This window comes from Homo sapiens, chromosome 20 (genome assembly GCF_000001405.40).
Source record: "Homo sapiens chromosome 20, GRCh38.p14 Primary Assembly".
In the NCBI taxonomy this organism is placed as follows: Eukaryota; Metazoa; Chordata; class Mammalia; order Primates; family Hominidae; genus Homo; species Homo sapiens.
Window position 1 is genome coordinate 20,011,872 of NC_000020.11, and position 22,276 is coordinate 20,034,147.

Consider the following 22,276-nt stretch of genomic DNA (forward strand, 5'->3'; position numbering starts at 1 on the left):
TTGGAAGACTGAGGTGGATGGATCACCTGAGGCCAGGAGTTTGAGACCAGCCTAGGCAATATGTCAAAACCCCATCTCTACTAAAAATATAAAAATTAGCCAGGTGTGGTGGTACACACCTATAGCCCCAGCTACTCGGGAGGCTGAGGCAGGAGAATCGCTTGAACCTGGGAGGTGGAGGTTGCAGTGAGCCGAGATGGTGCCACTTCACTCCAGCCTGGGCAACAGAGTGAGACCCTGTCTCAAAAAAAAAAAAAAAAAAAAAAAAAGAATGTCCATGTAAATGGAATCACAGGGTACACAGACTTTTGATTCCGGCTTAAATATTCATACAGATGTTTTGATAAAAACGTAACTTTTCGTTTCCCTGGGGTAAATGCCCAGGAATGCAATTGCTGGGTTAAGTGATAGTTGCATGTTTGCATGTTCAATTTGTAAAGAAACTACCAAACTGTTTTCCAGAGGGGCTGCACCATTTTATATTCCCATCAGCTATGTATGAGTGATTCTGTTTTGAAGTTTTTAGTACATTTCAGTGTTAAACTGCTGAAATTGTCAGATTCACTAGGTTTAAAACACATGCACTGTTAAAAATGTTTTATTTCTGAAAGTGTTATAATTATATTTCTAGAAATGTTATAATTAGACTCCAGCATAAATTAAGTCGCTGATACAAGGGGGAAAAAAACTCATGCTGGCCTTATTCTTCTCCCCCAGAAACTTTAAACACCAGAAAACAATGGAGTAATGATGTTTACAAAATCTTGGAGGAGAGAACATGGGATCCAGGAATATCCAGCCAATATTCCACTTGAGCATCCTAAGAGACAAGGGCGCTCTGTGAATAGAGCACCAGCACCATGAGCCCGAGGAAAAACAAAGCACAGCAAAGTCAAACAAACAAAAGCTCAGCAGAGAAACCCAGCCAACCCATACATGCATCAGAATGAAGAATGGAAAGGGAAAAGCTGTAAGAAGAAACAGGAATGACAATTACATCCACTCAATCATAGACTTAAAACCAAACAACTAGGTGATATATAGTTGAAAAACTGATGTGGCTTTATAGAGAATGGTGGCACACGCCTATAGTCCCAGCTACTCAGGAGCTGAGGCACGAGAATCGCTTGAACTTGGGAGGTGGAGGTTGCAGTGAGCTGAGATGGTGCCACTTCACTACAGCCTGGGCAACAGAGAGAGACCCTCTCTCAAAAAAAAAAAAAAAAAGAAAGAAAGAAAAAGAAAGAAAGAAAAAGACCAGTCACGGTGGCTCACGCCTGTAATCCCAGCACTCCGGGAGGCCAAGGCTGGTGGATCACAAGGTCAGGAGTTCAAGACCAGCTTGGCCAAGATGGTGAAACCCCGTCTCTACTAAAAATGCAAAAAAAGTAGCCAGGCATAGTGGCGGGCACCTGTAATCCCAGCTACTAAGGAGGCTGAGGCAGAGAATCGCTTGAACTCAGGAGGCGGAGGTTGCAGTGAGCTGGGATCACACCACTGCACTCCAGCCTGGGCGACAGAGCAAGACTCTGTCTCAAAAAAAAAAAAAGGCCTCGTGTGGTGGTGCACACCTATAGTTCCAGCTACTCAGGAGGCGGAGGCAGGAGAATCCCTTGAACCCAGGAGGCAGAGGTTCCACTGAGCTGAGATCTTGCCAGCGCTCCAGCCTGGGAGACAGAGCGAGACCCTGTCTCAAAAAAGCAAAAAAACAAAAAACAAAACAACACAAAAAAAGAGTAAATAGTGCCCTAAATTGAAATTTCTATTAAAAAATCTGATTTTGACCATTAATTATCCTCATTAGGAGATTGAAATTACATTTAATACATATATAAGATAATACTATACATATCTTAAACTTTACAGGAAACTTTTAGGAGCTTTTATTTTGTGCTGCTCAGCAATCTCTTTATTTTCATATTTATTTATTTATTTATTCTTTGTATTATTTTTTAATTTTTTGAGACAGAGTCTTGCTCTGTCACCCAGGCTAGAGTGCAGTGGTACAGTCTCGGCTCACTGCAACCTCTGCCTCCCGGGTTCAAGCGATTCTCCTGCCTCAGCCTGACAAGTAGCTGGGATTACAGGCGCCCGCCACCATGCCTGGCTAAATTTTTTTTGTATTTTTAGTAGAGATGGGATTTCACCATGTTGGCCAGGCTGGTCTCAAACTCCTGACCTTATGATCCACCCGCCTCGGCCTCCCAAAGCATTGGGATTACAGGTGTGAGCCACCGCGCCCAGCCTATTTATTTATTTATTTATTTATTGACATGGAGTCTCCCTCTGTCGCCCAGGCTGGAGTGCAGTGGTGCAATCTCAGCAAACTGCAACCTCTGCCTCCTGGGTTCAAGCGATTCTTCTGCCTCAGCCTTCCGAGTAGCTGAGATTACAGGTGCCCACCACCACGCCCGGCTAATTTTTGTATTTTTAGTAGAGATGGGGTTTCACCGTGTTGGCCAGGCTGGTCTCAAACTCCTGAACTCAGGTGAACCACCTGCCTCGGCCTCCCAAAGTGCTGGGATTACAGGCGTGACTCACCGCGCCTGGCACTCTTTCATTTTCATTTGATTTGTTTTTCTTCTGTTAAATTCAAGAAAAAAGTCAAGTACAGTAATACCTTATACTTCATAATCTATTAACATATATAATTAGAATCCCTTTTAAGTAAAAGTCTCTTTCTCACTCCCCTTAATCTACATAGAGAGATGACTGAAATTATCTGAGAGTTAACATGGTTTATTCCCAGGTGGCAAAATTTTCAATGATTTGTTGCTTTATTCTTTGTACATTTCCACAAGTCTTTGATTTCTTAATAATGTGCATATATCCTTTTTATTAAAAAGTCTTTAAGAATGTAAATAGCCCTAAAAGGTATTTTTAAAACCCATAAAACAAGTGTGTCAACATGTAGACTTTTCTGGTTGAAGCAAGACAATAAGAGGAAAGGGAGGCGGCTTCCAAAGCCCCACCCATCTCCTCTAAGCTGCTCATCGGGGACTATGAGCAAACATCACCCCTCCAGAGCCATTTGTGCTAAGGTCTATGATTGAGGGCTGTGCCTCTCCTAACTCTACATCTCCAGATTCTGATCCTTCAAAATGCAAGATACTTAATTTCATTATTTTTCTTAACAAACACTTATATGGCACTTAAAATGTGGCAAGCACTGTTATAACTGCTTTACAAATATTAACTCATGTAATCTTCATAATAATCCAATGAAGTAGGTGCTATGATTATGCACCTTTTACAGAAACTGAGGCAAAGAGAGGTGAAATACCTTTGTTGAGAATGTGAATACCCTCTTTGTAAACTACCAAGGATGACATTATCTTCTGGGTAACCTGTGTGCCACTTTTTCACTCAGCTATTTAATCAATATTTGCTAGGCACTTACTGGCCACCCTTCGAGATGCTAATTCATAGGAGGCAATCAGCAATGGAAACTGATAACAGTTTAAAAATAAGTAGACAAACAGGAGAGAAGGGAGAACCAGCTGGTGAATATCCAGGATATTCTCTGTACTGCCCTGCACGTTCCCCTGACCCCATGTGTTGGAATGGCCACGTAGCTATAGGATATTTCTGATCTGTGCCTCAAAATCGGAATAATAATTCGTATCGGTGCTTGCAAACTGCTGGCCTACAGCATCCAGTTTCTGCAGGGTTCCAATGCTACCTTTGTGTTAAACCCACAGTGTTTTTTTCTAAAAATCAAAATCATGTTTATTCCACCATTACCTAGATACAAACATAAAGTAGCTATAAACTTCTAATGTTTATAATACCAATGAATCAGAGCCAAAAATATTATAAAAACCTTCACTACTTCATAAGGAACAAAATTCAAATCAACATTAGTTCATGTCACACACAAAAAATTATGAAACACTTTGAAATGGCCAGAAAAAGATTACTGTTTAGTACACGTTTCCAGGTTTTCTCTGCTTTTTATTGTCTTTGACAATACAAAATTTTACAAATTTGTAAGCTGAGGAAAATTGATAGTAATGAAAATTTTTCTTGTCCATAAAATACAAATGCATAGTGTTATACAGTGCCCAGGAGAGACAGTGATTACAGCTCTGTGGATATTGACCAGTTTAACACTCATGTGTAAATACATTTCAGCATTCCTGCTTGCTTTATGTATTTTATCTCTCTTTATCTTATCTTTTTGAGACAGGGTCTTGGTGTGTCACCCAGGCTGGAGTGCAGTGGTGCAATCATGTCTCAGAGCAACCTCTACCTCCCGGGCTCAAATGATCCTCCCACCTCAGCCTCCCAAGTAGCTGGGATTACAGGTGTGAGCCACTGTGTCTGGTCTGAATAAAGGAATTTTTAACTTTTAATTTTAACTACTTTAAATTTAAAAACTGATGTTTGGTTCAGCGATTTGAAAACAGTATATTTGGAACCGCTTGGATATGAGAATCTGCTTTTTAACCATACATTGATGAAATCTAAATAGAGAACAAGCATTTCCGATGACAGCTGCTCTCTCAGATTGAAATGCACTGCAAATGTAAAATACACACCGGATTTCAAAGTCTTTGCAAAAAAGAATGTAACATATCACATTCCTTTTTTTATTGATTGATTACATGTTGAGTATTGATTGGTTACATGTTGAAATGATATTTCGGGTATAATAAAGTGGGGTCAGGGAAAAATATTTTTCCCAAATAGGAAAAATAAATGGGTAAAATAAAGCGTACTATCAAAATCAATTTTACATTTCGTTTTGCTTTTATTTATTTATTATTTATTTTTGAGACCAAGTCTAGCTCTGTCGCCCAGGCTGGAGTGCAGTGGCGAGATCTCGGCTCACTGCAACCTCCGCCTCCTGGGTTCAAGCGATTCTCCTGCCTCAGCCTCCAAGTAGCTGGGATTAGAGGCGCGTGCCACCACGCCCAGCTAATTTTTATTTCTTTCCTTTTTTTTTTTTTTTTAGTAGAGAGGGGGTTTCGCCATGTTGGCCAGGTTGGTCTCGAACTGCTGAACTCAAGTGATCTGCCCGCCTTGGCCTCCCAGTGTTGGGATTACAGGCGTGAGCCACCGCGCCCGGCCTTCTTTTTGTTTTTAAACGTGGTATTGACATTTTAAGATGACATCTGCAACTCGCAACACTGGGACAAGGGATTCTGGGTCATAAATTCTCCCATTCCTCATTTACTCTGCAGCACCGGGTGGCTGCGAACTCCGCTCTTCTGCTTGGGTTTCCGCATCACCAGCAGCTTCTTTCCTTCCCAGGTGTCGCCGCCTGCTTTCTGCAGCCGCTGCCTGGGAGGGGTTCCGAGGTTCTGGGCAGCCACAGCCCCGGAGGCCTTACAGGAGCGACCTGGCAATTCCCGCCGCCGGCCGCCAGAGGAAGCTGCTTTGCTGCTGTCGTTGCCCAGCAACTCGTAGCCCGGAAGCAGTACCCCGTCTCGCTCGGTTCCGCGGCGGCCACGCTCCGGGAGACTTCCGGCAGGGCGGGCGCGGGGTCTTGGCGAACGGTCTTCGGAAGCGGCGGCGGCGCGATGACCACGCTACGGGCCTTTACCTGCGACGACCTGTTCCGCTTCAACAACATGTGAGTGACACGCGCCTAGGGCCAGCCGCTCTTGGCCGGGCCTCGCTTCCCGGCCCCGCCAGCTCCGGCCCCAGCCGCGCCTTCCCGGCCGGACCCCAAGCCCGGACGGGGACCCGCGAGAACCACCCCCCGCCGGCCAACGTGGGCGCCTCCCTGGGGCCACAGGGTCCAGGGAGAGGTGGGCCTGGAGTCGACGCACGCCGGCCTTGGCGACCTTGGCCGAGGTGCTCAAACTTTGTCTCTGGACCCTGCGAGCTGGCAGGTTCTGGGGCAGCGCTCGGGCCTCCGCTCGTGGTCGCTGTCAGGAGGCGCTGGGGTGATGGGGCGAGCTGGAGACGCGGCCTGGAGCCCACGACCTGGGCTTCTCGCCCTGCCCTACTGCTTGCTGGTTCGTGGCCGGGCCGCGCCTCTTCTGGGCAGAGGGCACCGCCGACGGCCAGGCCGCAGAGGGGGCTTGCGAGGATCGGAAGCTGGTCAGCAGCTGTTGGGATGTGTACATCGTGAAGCCCACCTGGTGGCCGTGGTTAAATTGTATCCAAATGAAATGACACTGATCACTGCGTCCCCTGCAGCAGATGCTGTCTCAGTCATGGTTAGTGTTTGCAAGTTTAGTTACTGTAGCTGCGCACCCCGGTGTACACACCTTTCCTCTGTGAGGAGTCACGGCAGATCTTAGGGGAGGCTCGCTGTGCCCAGAGCCCTGGATGCAGTTTCTTTGGATTCGAGTTAAGGCCAGACCTCTGATTTGCAGGTACCAATTTTTTTTTTTTAAGAAAACATTTTATTATGAAGATTCCCACACATTTAGAAAAGTTGGAGGAATTTCACCATGTGCTTTTATAGACACTTTTCCTGGATTCTGCAGTTAACATTTTGCTACGCTGGTATCTCTCCTTCCTTCCCATCTATCAGTCCTGGATCCACTTTAAAAAAACAACAGGGCGGTATGTGAAAACTAAGGACAAAGTGGTTCCGATTCAAGTGTCAGGAAGATGGAAAGAACTATGGGATAAGATGGCTGGGAACATTTCAAAGAGGGGGTGAGCCTTGAAGATGGATAACACATTGGTAAGTGAGGAAGACGGAAGTTCCGGAGAAGGAGCGGGGCATGAAAATGGGGAAACTTGAAGTGCGGTCAGACAACTGGGATCAGTGCGAATCTAGTGGCTGGTTTCTGCCACTGAGCAGTCAGGAAGAAATGGGTGAAACAGGAGGGGTTTAGACTTGATCCTGTGGAAAGAATTTTCTGTTGGGCCAGTCTGGTAGCTACGGTGACTTGTGTTGAACTCACTGTTCCCTGCATTGTTCTGAGTGCCCACGTAATAATCCAGTTAATCCTCACGATTCTTTGAGGTGCTGTCACCCCCATTTTGTGTATGAGTAAACCAAGGCATGGCAAGCACAAGTGAATTGGCCCAGGTGAGAATGAGTAAAGCGAGGAACTTCATCCAAGGATATTGGCTCTGGAGCAGTGGTTCTGAAAGACTTGGTGCCTGTGGTCAGGGGACCATGTTAGAAACGCACATTCCGTTTGCGATCCACTGCTCTGGAGTGGGTCTTAACCCACCTGGAGCCTCTGGAGAGGCTCACCCTCTCTTTAAAGTGTTCCCAGCCATCTCATCCCATAGTCCTTTCTATCCTCCTGACCCTTGAATCGGAACCACTTGGTTTTTCGTTTTCACTTACTGCCCTGTTGTTTTTAAAAGTGGATCTAGGATTGATAGGTGGGCAGAGAGAAATGATGAAGCCAGTGTAGCAAAGTGTTCACTGTAGAATCCAGGTGATGGATTCAAATTCTTAACCACTGAGCTCTGTGGGCTGTCATGTGATGACAGCAGGTAAACTGGGCAGGTAAGCCATTCAGGAGGCCTTGGCAGTGGCCCAGAGACGATGACTTGACAGAGGCTTCAGTTTGGGAGGTGCAGCATGGGAGGTGACAGGGTGCCTTGAAGCTTCAAGAAAAGGCAGAGCCTCATGGAGAATCAGTTTTAACTGAAGATCTAGGAAAGGACAACAGTTTTACATGGAAATGAATAGAAAGAAAATACACAGGAACACTTGCAAGAAAATATTAGATTTCAGAGAATCATGTGGCCTCTTCAGAAGGTGCCAGTAGGGGAACTCCACTTATTCCCCATTTTCTTTTATTTTTTGAGACAGGGTCTCGCTCTGTTGCCCAGACAGGAGTGCAGTGGCACAATCCTAGGTCGCTTTAGTCTCAAGCTCCCAGGCCCAGGCAATCCTCCTGCCTCAGCCTCCCGAGTAGTTGGGACTACAGGCACGTGCTGCCACACCCCACTAATTTTTAAATTTTTTTGTGGAGACAGGGTCTTGTTTTGTTACCCGGGCTGGTCTGGAACTCCCAGGCTCAAGTGATTCTCCCACCTAATCCTTCCAAAGTGCTGGAATTACAAGTGTGAGCCACCACACCTGGTTCCCATTTTTTTGTATTTACTTGCCTCTTTGATTAGGGCATTTTGGTAGAAAACTCTGAGAATGACTCAGATTAGATGATGCAGTTGGAATTGAAATAATCCATGGATGTAGAACACTGCAATTAATTTAACACATATTTTATTCTTGGAAAAATATTTGAGTGCCTACTGTGTGCCAGTTCTAGAGACACAGCAGTGAACAAGACATAAACAAAAAGGTGTCTTTATAGAATGTAGATTTTCCCCTCTAAACACCTTAATGTATCATAAAGTAGCTGTGACTTCATAGAACACCTGAAACAATTTTGGGGACCCCCTCAAATCCTGGCCCACACCTTGGGAATCACAGTGCGGGGAGTCATGTGGAACTTAGTGTTCAGTTACAAAGGAAAATAGAAGCAGGGAAGGAAAGCTGGAAGTGAGTGGGGATTCAGCTTTAGTTTGGGGGTTCAGGGAGACTGCCCTTGAAGAAAGACCTGGGGAAGTTAGGAATGAGTTACATGAACACTGGGGGCCAGGGGAGCTTCCAGATAGAGGGAACAGTAAGTGAAGACACCCCTGTTTCAAATAGGAGGCAGGCCGCATGGCTGGTACAGAGTGAGCATGGGAGGGTAAGGGGATAACAGCAGAGAGTTAGAAGGGCAGGGCCTGGAGAGGCCATCATAAGACCTGAACTTCTCTGCCAAGTGCACCAAGAAACCCAGGTGGAGGGGCCAGGAAGGCATCTGGGCATGGGCGTCTCAAGATTAGGTCTGAGCTAAAGATGGAAATTTGGGGGTCAGCACAAGTGTAGAAAAAAAGGCTAAGAGTTTGTAAGATGGCGCCTTAGGGCATCAAGTGTTCAAGTAAAGGAGACCGTGTGGCTCAGTGAGGTGAGAGGAGAACCCCATGGTCTCAGAAGCTGAGTGAAGACAGCATTTCAGGCTGTCCCAGGAGTGGGAAGCTGTTCAAGAGGAGCTGATGGCTCAGTGCACATCATATTTGTACATTTCTTCCAGGAAAGAGAAATTGAAGATGCAGATGCAGGAGGGAAAGAGAATTGCAGGAGGAGGGTCCCGAGTACTGAGGGGGTCTCTCGCCCGCACTCCGTGCCTATTGACAGGAGAGCAAGTAGCATATGGGTGCAGATGCCTGTGTGCGTGGGTTCGGTGGGCGGGGGGGGGGGGGGACTTTGGCAAAGACTTCTTCCTGTTTTCTCTTCTTAGTGATGAAATAGGAAGCCCCTGAGATGGCGGGGCTGGAGGTGAGGGTGCGGGTGGGCAGACAAGAGGAGATAAAGCAGTTCAGTCGTCGAAAGGTGTGGTGGAGTGACTCCCTGCACTGTATTAGAGCAGTGATTCTCAAGGAGTGGGCCAGGGTTTGGGGTCCCCAAGATTGTTTCAGGTGTTGTGTGAGGTTAGAGCTATCTTCATGATGTATTAAGAAGGTTTTTCATCTTTTCCACTGTCATTCCCTCACAAGTAGACAGTGGAGCTTCCCAAGGTGTGATCTTTCAGCAGCAAGCATAACAAATGCTTGAGAATCCCGTTGTCTTTTAAGCAGGACGTTGCAGAATTGTTAAAACAATGCCATTGTTGTCACTGGATTTTGTTTTGTTTTGTTTTCGGAAGTATAGTGATTTTTTTGGTAAAGGTATTTGTGTTAACGTGTAATTGATTTATTATTTTTGAGTGAATATTTAAAATTTTTAAATCTCAGTAGATATTACGCGTATAAACAAAAGTTCTTTGGAGTCTTCAGTAACTTTTTAGCGTAAAGGAGTTCTGAAACCAAACAGTTTAAGAACTGCTGGACTACAGAAATATGATATGACTAGCATTGTTATGGGTCTCAAAGGAGAATTTGACTAGAAATCAGAAGAGAACAGTTGAAAAGTAGCTGGTTTTGAACCTGACAAAATAGTGGCTCCATTAATTGACTAGGGAAGTGAGGGGATGGAGATGGGTTTTCAGAATGCAGATTTGGGAATGGTGTGCTGGGATGTGCTGGTGAGCTGCCCACAGCATCGGAGCCAGGTTGGGAGGCATCCACTAAGAACACGTGATTGAACACATAGGAATGGGGATGGTGGGGACAGGGAGGTGGGAGTGTAGAATAGGAGTGGGGAGCAAAAACCGAGTGGTGGGAGTGACCACATTTAGAGGGTGGAATAAAGGAGCAATTGTCAGGGAAGACCCAGACACAGGCGGGGAGGATCCATGGGGTTGGATGCTGCAGCGGGCGAGTTTGACCTTCTGTCTCTGCGAGATACATCCCTAGTTGGTCTCCAGTTCCATTAGCAATTTATTGCCACTTAGAAAACACAAGATGTAGATTTATTAACTTGAATTTTAAAGAAGCAAGTAGCAGTTAAGTGAAAAAATATGTAAACACCTTAATAGTGGCTGTGACAGCTTATTATGGCTATTAGGTAGATTAAATCATCTGCCTCAGCCCTAAAGTTGGCCTTAAAGTTGTTGATGAAACATGTTTTGTTTTCCTTGTGGCATATTACTGTTAGCTTTAGCAGGCTTATTTCAACTGGTTATTGTAAACGCTGCTTACTAGAGACATTTCTCTTGTTTCTTTCAGTAACTTGGATCCACTTACAGAAACTGTATCCTTTTTTACAAAAAAAAAAAAGTTGAATGAAGATTTACTGAGAATAAAGAAAACAGAAATGAAAGGAAAACAGAGGAGTACTGAAAAGTTTAAAAACTTGTAGGTCAGGAAACATCATAAGCAACACTGAAAGCAATTTTAAAAAGTGAAACTGAGAACAAGAGTTGTCTTAGATCTGCTGACAAACTGTTAATATCATGACTTGGTAGAAATCTGTAACATCATAGCTCCCCTGCCAACCTTGCCCCTCAGGAGTCAGCATGGCTGTATTCACCAGAAAGCACAGTGACTTCAGCAAGGTGGCTGCATAGTCTCCAGTGTGAACAAAGTCTGGAGATAAGCAGTCCCAGGCAGGTGATGCTTCCATGAAGACACCAACAGCCAGGCTCTTTGCAGTTTAAGCACTCTACCCCTCCCAGGGTGGCCGTAACCTTGTTCCAGATGTTGCCACAGCAAACAGCATCACAGCCATGTTTCCGGCAGCAGAAACAGCAGAGGGGGAGGTGAGGGTGTTCTTCCCTTTTAAGAGTACCTTTGGGCCTGTACTCCCAGCACTTTGGGGGGCCAAGGCAGGCAGATCACGAGGTCAGGCGTTCAAGACCAGCCTGGCCAACATGGTGAAACCCCGTCCGTCTCTAGTAAAAATACAAGAACTAGCCAGCCGTGGTGGCTCACTCCGTAATCCCAGCTACTTAGGAGGCTGAGGCAGGAGAATCGCTTGAACCAGGACCCGGGAGGCAGAGGTTGCAGTGAGCCGAGGTTGCAGTGAGCCGAGATCGCGCCACTGCACTCCAGCCTGGGCTACATGTAGAGCGAGACTCCGTCTCAAAAAAAAAAAAAAAAGGAGAGTACCTTTGGGAAATGCCACACAGGCCCGCTCTGTCTCATTGACCAGCACCTGTTTCATGCTTCACCTGTCTACTGAATCCTATCTAGAGTCCAGAAATGTGCCCTGCTTTATAAATTGGGACTTGTTACTAAAGTGAAGGCTTTGAGGTAACAATGAACAGTGTCTATTATTGTCCTAATGGAAAAATGGGGCAAAGATGTGAAGATAGGATACTGTGGTTATGCTGCTGTAACAGATAACCCCACATCTCTAGTGGCTTACAACACAAAGTTCGGATTCTGTGTTATGCTCTGTATCTACTGTAGGTGGGTAGGAGGGTTCTGCTAACCGGTAATTTATCAAAAGAGGGCATATAGGAGCTTAATGAACGTGTTAAGAGTTCAGTCTCATCAGTCAAAAGACATGTAAACTAAAACCAAAATGAGATGCCATATTTTATGTATCAGCCAAGATTTTAAAAAATGATAAACCTCAGTGCTGATGATGGTGAGGTGAGAGGAACATTCTCATAAATTGCTAGTGACAATATAAATTGCTATTATCTTTCCAGAAGGCACTTTGGAAATAGTAATTCCATTTCCTGAAAGCTGAAAATAAGAAGAAATAGAGGCAGTTTGTCAGTGGTTGACAAAATAAGGCCCATAGGCCAAATCTGGCCCACTGCCTGTTTTTGTAAATAAAATGTTATTGGGACACCACGCTGATTAATTTATATTTTTTTCTGTGGCTTTTGCAGTTTGAGTAGTTCAGCAGGGACTGTATGGCCCACAAAGCCTAGGATGTTAACTATTTGGCCTTTTACAGAAAAAGTTTGCTAACCCCTGAGTTATACCATTACAAACATTATTTATTGCAGGAGAGTTACTAAGCATTTGGAATAAGATTCACACACAACAATCAGGAGATGGTTAAGTAAATTAAGCTGTACTGAAGAAGGATTTCAAACATTTTTTTGAGAAACAGGAAATGACCCAGGTGTCCATTGTCAGGATACAGGCTATTTAAGGTGTCTCTTCACATAAAGAAATACTATACAGCAGTAAAAATTAACTTACAGGTGCAGGCAGCAACAGGACTACATATCAGAAACAAAACTGAATGGGAAAAGCAAAAAATCTCTGCAGGTTCATCTGGATTTTTTAAATTACGACTAATGATATCACCACTTTTAAGATTTTTGAAGAATTTTGAATGACAAAAGTTTCACTATATAGGAAGGAAGGATTTTAGGATGCAAATCCGTTTATATGGTGTGCTTCCAGTGACATTTAAAATTTGCAGTGAAAGTCCCATAATCCAGGTGAGCCTATATTTGAAAGTAACCTGTTAGGTCCTAGAGGTCGATGGGAGGGAGGGGTGTCTGGGACTCCTCTGTTAGCCACAGAAGAGATGGTTGTGGTATATGTCAGTGGCTGGCTGGCAGGAAGACTGGCTGTCCTGCCATGTTAAGGGTTGTATTTGAGGGGTATTCAAAATAATGATGGTCCTTCAGAGGAGATTTTGAAGAATTTCGCACGGAACAGGTTTTCCAGGAACTTAAAAAATATATTTATGTGTGATTGATGGTGTCCTCTGATAAATTGCATCAGAAAGTTTATACTAACAAGAAATATATTTTCATCCATTAAAGTACAGAGTAAAAAGAAGAAGAGAAATGTAGGAATGATTACATGTCAGTAAGGATATCCCAAGGTTGAAGAGTGAAGTCATGAGCAAATTATTCAGGCATTTACTGTTAACATAGTTGATTCCTTAAGTCAGCTTTTATCTGCATTACTAGAAATGCAGGATTTGAATCAGTGGAGAGGAAAAACTGGGTAATTAAGTTGGCTCTGGAAGGACTTAGGTTGTAAAGTTATTTTCACAGTCTCATAGCTGAAGTCAAAGTAGGAACTACCCATTAATTTTTCAGTGCAATTATGTAAGCATCAGTGTATTAAGCATCTACTGTGTACCAGGCACCAGGGACAGAGGGAACATGATATTCATAGACTAAGAGGAGGCAGACCGCAAACAAACAATATCAGGTGATAAATGGAGAGACTTAGATATGGTATGGTCAGTAGGGAAGTAGACTGTAGAACTTTGGGGTCCTGATTCTCTGCTTTCTATTAGACAGTGCTATCACCATTCCACACTTGAGGCTATATGTCCAGGCAATTTTGTTAAAAATCAGTGATAACCTAAATATTTCATGTAATGGTATGTATGATTATAGGACTCATACAGAGCTGGGGATAAAGTAACAGTATACTTTTTAAAGGAAACTTTTTTTACAATATCCCTTAATGAAGAACTTTTTACTGTCCATTACTTTTCACACTCCTTAACAGGACTCTAGTATGGGATTCCTTTCTACCTACAATACCTCGCCCACTGGCCAGAGTATTTCATTGTTGCAGAGGCACCTGGTGGAGAATTAATGGGTTATAGTAAGTATAATACCACTAGTATTTTGTGGAGTAGGTAAAGATTTTAATATAGATTTCAACTGATTGCTTTAGACTGCAGAATTGGAATATAATGATGCTTGTAATTTTATTTCCTCTTCAACAATTCAAGAACTTACTGATCTCTGTTTTGGGCACTGTGCTAGGCCCAGGCGATAACGGCAGTGAACCAGACAGACATGGTCTTAGTCTTCTTAAATCTTTCATTCTAAAAAAAAAAAAAATCTTTCATTCTAAGGCCAGGTACAGTGGCTCACGCCTGTAATCCCAACACTTTGGAAGGCCAAGGCAGGCAGATCCTTTGAGGTCAGGAGTTCAAGATCGGCCTGGCCAAATGGTGAAAGCCTGCCTCTACTAAAAATACAAAAAATTAGCTGGGCGTGGTATCGCGTGCCTATAATCCCAGCTACTCAGGAAGCTGAGGCGGGAGAATCACTTGAACCCCGGAGGCAGAACTTGCAGTGGGCTGAGATCATGCCACTGCACTCCAGCCTGGGTGACACAGTGAGACTCTGTCTCAAAAAAAAAAAAAAAATCTTTCATTCTATACTTTTGTTAAATTTCTACATGGTTTATTTAGTACATAATGCAGGCATCATAGCATCCTCATTGAATTAGCATTACTAACAGAACCTTTAGCTCTGAACTATATGTGTACATCCACATGTACCCACATATACCCACACCCATATGAAATGCAGATATTTGAAAAAATACATACTCTGGTTTTTTTTTTTTCAAAATTAGTTGTGTTTTAAGTATATCGTTCTTTTTTGTTCTAATTCTGATTTTAGAACTATTCTAAATGTAACAGATAGTGTTACATTTACAAGTGAATTTCAAATAAAAGCACTAACTGTTAGCTGGATGACCTCAGGTGGTACTTAAAAACTTCTTTATTAGTTTCCTTTGTAATAAAAACATACTGAACAGTAATTCTATATTTATGTGTAAATCAATGTCTAGTTACTGAATGTGATTTTTGTTGTTGTTGGCAGTTATGGGTAAAGCAGAAGGCTCAGTAGCTAGGGAAGAATGGCACGGGCACGTCACAGCTCTGTCTGTTGCCCCAGAATTTCGACGCCTTGGTTTGGCTGCTAAACTTATGGAGTTACTAGAGGAGATTTCAGAAAGGTGAGATTCAGTTTTTCAAATACACTTAGTGATTTGTGGACCCCTAACCATTTTCTTCCCCTTCAGGCTGAATAACTGTCATGCTTTACAGTTCACAGGAATTTCATCTTCCATCTCCAGTAGTCCTTAGAACAATTCTATCACATAGTCAAAGTGATATTGTTTCTATTTTGCCATTGAGGAAATTAAGGCAAAGTGTTGTAGTGACCCGCTATAGGCCTATAAGCTGAGGAATTGGTGCAATTCAGTTCCAAAGGCTAGCTCTCGAGGTTTCTCTTAGTGTTCCTGCCACAGTGGCACACATTCCTAAAATCTGTTACCATTGCTTTGGCATCTGAATAAATTTTTAGCAGTGCTCCTCGGCCAAAAGAAAATAGTTCAGTCTTAAGCAGTTATATTCTAACTGTTTAATAAGTATTTATAGCCTAACAGCTAATAGCCATTTAGAAAAAAAATAAATTGAAAGAAGAAATATTTTCATTTCATTCTTAAATAACTGTGGCTAGCTACCAATGAGAGGTGTGCACCTGTTGGACATTAAATGACTTGGCAGAACCACTTGCATTCCTGTTTCATATTGATTTTCATCTAGTATTTTTTTTTAATCACAGCAACTGCCAGAAACTCAGCTTCATAGAAATATTATGTCATTAAGAGGAATGTAGCATGATCTTACGTTGAATTTGTGAACTACTTCAAACTAGTTTGCCAATATCTGACATGTAAGGTTTTGCTGTTTTCCCTGAACATTCGAAATATCCTTTGGTGGCTGTATGAGTTTGGGACACCTTAGGGCACCTGAGTGCACAGTTTGCGAACTGCCAGCATGGCATTTTTTTTTTTTTTTTTAAGGGACGTGTTGTATATATCAAACCTCTTCATTACTGGAGATAAAAGAAATACAATAAATAGAAGAGAAGGCCCCTCCTCGTATCTTCATTCTAGAAGAGAGATGTTTGTAGTAGCTTCACCTGTTGTCAAGCTGCCATTTCTTTCTCCACTGTAATTTCCTAAAAGTGTGGTAGGAAAGAGAATAGTTGCTGAGAAGGGTTCTTGAGCTTAATTTCTACTTAATTATTAGATTTAATAAAGGCAAGTTTTAAAGAAGTATCTGTGGCCTGACAAAGACTTCAAGCCAAATTAGAGGCAAAGGAGCTCAAACTCATTCAGAGAAGAAATTGTGTTAGCTGAAAAAGAAGTCGGTGCTAATCTTTAAGATTTTTTAAAGTTCTCTCTAGACCAAACAAAGAAGGGAAGAAAATTTTAGCATGATTATAGTTTACACACATTTATTAATGGCATTATGTTGAAAAAAAGTATTTGGCATTATTGTATAGTGAACAGGGAGTTAGAAAGTGGGTTGTTCAATGAGAACACATGGACACAGGGAGGGGAACATCACACACCAGGGCCTGTCGGGGGTGGGGGTCTAAGGGAGGGATAGAATTAGGATAAATACCTAATGTAGATGACGAGTTGATGGGTGCAGCAAACCACCATGGCACGCGTATACCTATGTAACAAACCTGCACGTTCTGCACATGTATCCCAGAACTTAAAGTATAATAATAATAAAAAAAAGCAGGTCGTAACTAGCTATGACCTTGCACATATAATTTAGGGTATTTGTATGATAGATTCTCCCTCTGAGTAGAAGACCACTAAGCTCTCTTCCCTTCCAGTTTCTAAGCCTTCATTATTTTAGACTAGTTGCTAAGATTTAAGTAATCTTCATTTGTAGGCATATATATACATATACACATACATGATACATATACATATGCTTATATACACTATATACATGTATACATAGTGCATACAATGTATACATTAAAAATAGAAACCAAACAAGTAGAGGAGAAGAAAAATTGAATGATAGAAGTCAACTCCAAAGAAGAGAAAAAGGAAATTAAACCAGCAAAACAAAATGCATGAAATAAAATGGTAGCCCAGAATCCAAATATTGTCAGTAATTACAACAGTAAACGTTAATGGACTTAGGACTTTATTTATTTATTATTAGTTTTGGAGATGGGGTCTTGCTCTGTTGCTCAGGCTGGAGTGCAGTGGCGTGATCTCAGCTCACTGCAACGTCTGCCTCCCAGGCTCAAATGATTTTCCTCTCTCACCCTCTGAGTAGCTGGGATTACAGGCGCCCACCACCATGCACGGCCAGCTATGATGACTCTATTTAAAAGACAAAGGCTGTCTGTATTGTTTACAGGAAATATGTGTAAAATATATTAAAATATTTTTAATACAGAAAGATTGAAAGTAAATTTTTAAATTACCTTGCAAATTCTAACCAAAAGAAAGTTAGAATACTTATTAATAATAGTTATAGTTGAATAATTATTACCAGCATAAAAAAGGGTCACTGCATATTGATAAAATATTTAATCAAGGAAGTAACAAGTCTGGGAGTGGTGGCTCATGACTGTAATCCCAGCACCTTGGGAGGCCGAGACAGGTGGATCACTTGAGGTCAGGAGTTCCAGACCAGTCTGGCCAACATGGTGAAATCCCGTCTCGACTAAAAATACAAAAATTAGCCGGGTGTGGTAGCACGTGACTGTAATCCCAGCTACTCGGGAGGCTGAGGCAGGAGAATTGCTTGAACCTGGGAGGCGAAGATTACAGTGAGCCAAGATCACGCCATTGCACTCCAGCCTGTGCAACAGAGCGAGACTCCATCTCAAAAAAAAAAAAAAAAATAGCGATTTAAAATGGTATATACCAAGTGACATCATTTCAAAGTAAAAATGCACAAATTGACAAAACTACAAGGAGAAATAGACAAATTATTATTATAATGGGAGATTTAGACATGCTTTTTTCTAATTGATAGAACAATGAGATAGAAATTTGTCAAGCCTATAGAACAAGAATCAGCAATTTTCTTCTGGGTCAGATAGTAAATATTCAGGCATTACAGGCCACCTAAAGTCTTGGTTACATAGTTTTTTGTTTTGTTTTGTTTTGTTTTGTTTTTAACAACCATTGCAAAAACCATTCTTAGCTTGAAGGCAGTAGCAAAATAGGTTATAAGCCAACCCCTGCCCTAAAGAATTTCAATCAGTAGCCCAAAATCTTTTCACGAAGAAAGCTGTGGCTTCTCTGGCCAATTTTACTAAACATTTAAGAAATAATGACTGAAAGGTCACTTTTACACAAACTATTTTGCACAAGCCAAAAAAGGGAACATTCCTCAACTTATTTTTTAAGGCCAGGATAACCTTGATAACAATACTTGGCAAAATATGGGAAAGGAAAATTCGAGGAACATCTCACTCAGATGCAAAATCTCGGAAAAATAATTAGCAAAGTGGATTTGGCACTACATAAATAGGATGACACATCAGGAACAAGGTGGTTTCAACTTTACACTAAAGGAGAACACTGGTTATTTTAGAAAGTGCAGCAAACTTGATAAAATCCAATATTCCTTCCTGATAAAAACTGTTAGCAAACTGGGAAATAGAAAGGGGGAACTTCCTTAACCTGAAAAATATCTACAAGAAATTTGTAGTAAATATATTTAGTAGTGATACACTGAATGCTTTCCTTTTGAAATTAGGGACAAGTTAGTCCCGCTTCAGTAATTTACTAGAAATTATAGCACAGGAAAGCAGGAAAAAATAAACGATAGGAGGATTGAGAGGAAACAAAACTTATTTTGCACAGATATGATTATATAAATATAAAATCCATAAGAATATAAATATTTAGAATTAATAAAAGGCAAAGTTGTTGGATATAAAGTCAGTATAAAAATCAATTGTATTTACATATGAGAGGAAACAAAACTTACTTATTTTGCACAGATATGATTATACAAATATAAAATCCACAAGAATCTAGAAATAAATGTTTAGAATTAATAAAAGGTAGGCAAGGTTGTTGGATAGAAAGTCAGTATAAAAATCAATTGTATTTATATATATATAAACAGTAAAATTTAGAAAAAGATGCCATAGCATGAAAAAACATTAAGTACTTAAGAATCTAGCAAGTGCTATGCAAGACCTCTCTGACATTTAAAAAACTTTTTTGAGAGATATTAAAGTAGCCCTGATAAGTGGAGCGATAAACTATCACTGGATTAGAGGATACAGTAAACAGGTAATCGACCGCAGTTCCAATGTAATTGCAGTCAAAATCCCAAGCATTTTTTATAGTACTTGTTAAGCTGACTCTGAAACATACAGAGGAACAGAAAGAGCAAAAAAGAGACAAGATATTCTTGAACAACAACAAAAATGGGTGATGTGCCCCTCCAGGTATCAGACTGTAAAGAGTGAGACTATATCTTAGTGCTGTAGTTATCTAGACCAGTGTTACAGAATTTGAGAAACAGACCCAAGAATATATGGACTTTAACATACCACAGAAGAGGCATTGCACATCAATAGTATGAAGATAGACTTTTCAGTAAAGGTGGTTGGACAATTGGATGTCCCTATGGGAAAAAAAAATTTCCCAGATTACCATTATTCCATACACAAATCAACTCCAGATTTATTAAAAACCTAGATGTGAAACCAAAACTAAGAAGTCTTTTGAATATAATATGGCAGAGTGTCTCTGTGGCCTCAGTGTAGAACTTTTTAAAAAGGCCATAAAAAGGCTAAGGAAAGGATTCATATATTCAGCTTCACTGAAGTGAAGTAACTTTTTATCAAAAGATAACATAAGGATAATGACAAGACAAACCACAAATTGGAAAAAGATACTTGCAGACATTACACAGTATTGAATATTCACAATACATAGAGAACTGTAGCGGGGGAAAAATTGTATGAAAGATTTAAGTACTATACAGAAGGAGAAATCTAAATGGCCAACCAACAGAAATATATTCAGCATTGTTAGTAATTGGAAATACAAATTAAAATCTGAGATATAGTTACACTGTAAGATTGGCAAAAATAAAAACATGTGATGCACCAAGCCTTGTTGCTGTGGAATGGAGGCTTACTCACTTCTGTGCAAGAGTAAGTTGGTACAAGCCAGTTGGAAAAACAGTTTGGTATTAACTAATGAAGATGTGCCCTGTGACACAACAGTGAGACTCCTAGCTATAGACCTTACGTGAGACACTCAACAGAAGTATTCACAGGAGCATCGTTTGTATAGTAAAAGCCAGAAACGTATCAACAGGACCGTGAATGACTTGTGCACAAGCCCAGCCACTCTTGAAGCTGACTCTTACAATGTTAGTCGACTGAGAGAAGCAAAAGACAAAAGAATATATGATTCCATGTATATAAACTTCATAAACAGGAGAAACTGTAATAGGTGGTGAATTTGTAGAACAAATGCCTTGAGTTTATCTTTTAAGAAAACGTGTTGCTTTTGAAATACTAGCATGCAAACATAAAGTCATGTTCTTACACTGCAAAGTAATTGTCATAAATCCTAAGTAATACAAATTTCTATTACCATGTAATCAGCTACAAGGTCCTATTACTACCATTCTGAGTAGTAGTCAAAGCAAGGTAAAAACACGTTTTAAAAAAAATATGTATCTATTACTTTCTAGGGTTTCTCACATTCTAACATTTTCCTTTTTTGTTTTTCTTTTAAAGAAAGGGTGGATTTTTTGTGGATCTCTTTGTAAGAGTATCTAACCAAGTTGCAGTTAACATGTACAAGCAGTTGGGCTACAGTGTATATAGGACGGTCATAGAGTACTATTCGGCCAGCAACGGGGAGCCTGATGAGGACGCTTATGGTAAGCTCCCTTCCATGGCAGTATCCCCAAGAAGTCGAAACAGTTACATTCTTTCTACAGATTGTAGTATTTGATTATTTTAATAAATGTAGAATATTTGACTTTAAAATTTAAATTTCCCTCAACCTACCTTTATCAACCTATTAGTAGTAGTAATTAACTTACCTATTAACTAACCAATGGTTAATTTCTGTACCTTACTGTTTCACTCTGTTACATACATATTATTTTGCTAACAAGAAAACGTGTATTGTGAGCTGAATACTGGGTGAGGTCTGGTTAGCATCTGGTACACTTGGCAATTGGGAGACATTTATAAATACATTTTGCTTAGAATATGGTGAAGTGGGGGTAGGGATAAAACCTCTTATGGGAACTTTACCTATACACTTTACATTTGATATAATACATTTTTTGGGTGTTTATATTAAACTTTGCTTCTTTACAGATATGAGGAAAGCACTTTCCAGGGATACTGAGAAGAAATCCATCATACCATTACCTCATCCTGTGAGGCCTGAAGACATTGAATAACCCTGGGCAGTGGTTCTTAGGCAGATACTCTAGATGCTTTATGGACAATATTATTTTCATTGGATGATTCTGGAGCTCTATTAGGAGAAAAGTAATCATTTTAGGTCTTAAAGACTTCAAGAAAATACAGGTTATCAATTTATTTTAAATCTCATTGTTTCCAGTTAGCAATATCATACCTATTAAAGCTGTTCATTGTAACAAAATTCAATCAAAAAGGCAGCTAGGTCAGAAGGAAACATACCACTCTCATGGTTCATAGTATTCACTGTATGTATGCTAGGGAAAAGACTTGCTCCAGTCTCCTCCTCAGTTCTGTGCCTGAGAACCACTGCTGCATATATTTGTTTTTAAATTTTGTATTGAACTGTTAATTGAAGCTTTAAAAGCATATATGAAATGTATAAATCTAAGATGTATAATACATTATTGACTCTATGAATGTTTTCTGAAGTTTGTTAGTCATTTGTAAAACTAAATCAGATTGTAATCCCAGTACTTTGGGAGGCCAAGGCAGGCTGATTGCTTGAGGTCAGGAGTTTGAGACCAGCCTGGCCAAAATCTATACTAAAAAAAATACAAAAATTAGCTGGGCATCCCAGCTATGCAGAAGCTGAAGCACAAGAATTGCTTGAACCCTGGAGGTGGAGGTTGCAGTGAGCTGAGATCGTCCCACTGCACTCCAGCCCGGGCAACAGAGTAAGACCCTGCCTCAAGAAAAAAAAAAAAAAAAAAAATCAGGATTGTGAAAGGTCATCATCATTTAAGATACGTTTAATTAAATTGTGACTTCCATACGTAGTATTTTAAAAATGCACACTTGAAGCAATCACTGTCCAGCATACTTAAGAAGCTCCCTTCTTATCGTGTAGTAAATTCTTCCCAGTCACCTGCGTTCATACCATTATACTGTTTGTTTGTTAGTCCTAGATCTTTTCTCCTCTTCACAATGCTTTGCTT

At 41.1% G+C, this 22,276-nt stretch overlaps 1 protein-coding gene across 3 annotated transcripts, besides 5 other annotated features; it reads left to right on the forward strand.

Moving 5' to 3' along the window:
- Positions 4,998-5,177: an enhancer, noted in NCBI's record as "active region_17603". NCBI's record gives its function as "activates an Ori minimal core promoter by ATAC-STARR-seq in GM12878 lymphoblastoid cells {active_cell/tissue: GM12878}" and the evidence as "EXISTENCE:reporter gene assay evidence [ECO:0000049][PMID:35858748]".
- On the forward strand, positions 5,419-21,784 carry NAA20 (N-alpha-acetyltransferase 20, NatB catalytic subunit). Of its 3 annotated transcripts, none has more exons than NM_016100.5 (6): positions 5,491-5,578; positions 10,585-10,609; positions 13,806-13,896; positions 14,913-15,048; positions 20,637-20,782; positions 21,231-21,784. In NM_016100.5, exons 1-6 carry the CDS (start codon positions 5,526-5,528, stop codon positions 21,314-21,316), a joined length of 537 nt encoding a protein of 178 aa, NP_057184.1. In that variant the 5' UTR covers positions 5,491-5,525; the 3' UTR covers positions 21,317-21,784. The 3 variants fall into 3 exon arrangements, with proteins under 3 accessions (NP_852669.1, NP_057184.1, NP_852668.1); NM_181527.3 differs by lacking the exon at positions 5,491-5,578 and adding an exon at positions 5,924-6,170 and having other exon boundaries at positions 21,231-21,758; NM_181528.3 differs by lacking the exon at positions 20,637-20,782 and having other exon boundaries at positions 5,419-5,578; positions 21,231-21,758.
- Positions 5,498-5,567: a silencer, noted in NCBI's record as "silent region_12707". NCBI's record gives its function as "represses an Ori minimal core promoter by ATAC-STARR-seq in GM12878 lymphoblastoid cells {active_cell/tissue: GM12878}" and the evidence as "EXISTENCE:reporter gene assay evidence [ECO:0000049][PMID:35858748]".
- Positions 5,618-5,737: a silencer, noted in NCBI's record as "silent region_12708". NCBI's record gives its function as "represses an Ori minimal core promoter by ATAC-STARR-seq in GM12878 lymphoblastoid cells {active_cell/tissue: GM12878}" and the evidence as "EXISTENCE:reporter gene assay evidence [ECO:0000049][PMID:35858748]".
- Positions 5,792-6,292: an enhancer, noted in NCBI's record as "H3K27ac hESC enhancer chr20:19998307-19998807 (GRCh37/hg19 assembly coordinates)". NCBI's record gives its function as "activates a minimal SCP1, AML or CMV promoter by ChIP-STARR-seq in naive H9 embryonic stem cells {active_cell/tissue: H9 hESC(naive)}" and the evidence as "EXISTENCE:reporter gene assay evidence [ECO:0000049][PMID:30033119]".
- Positions 6,754-7,953: an enhancer, noted in NCBI's record as "MED14-independent group 3 enhancer chr20:19999269-20000468 (GRCh37/hg19 assembly coordinates)". NCBI's record gives its function as "activates an origin of replication core promoter dependent on BRD2, BRD4, P300/CBP and CDK7 cofactors, and independent of MED14, by STARR-seq in HCT116 cells {active_cell/tissue: HCT116}" and the evidence as "EXISTENCE:reporter gene assay evidence [ECO:0000049][PMID:35650434]".
- Positions 21,785-22,276: the final 492 nt, after the last annotated feature.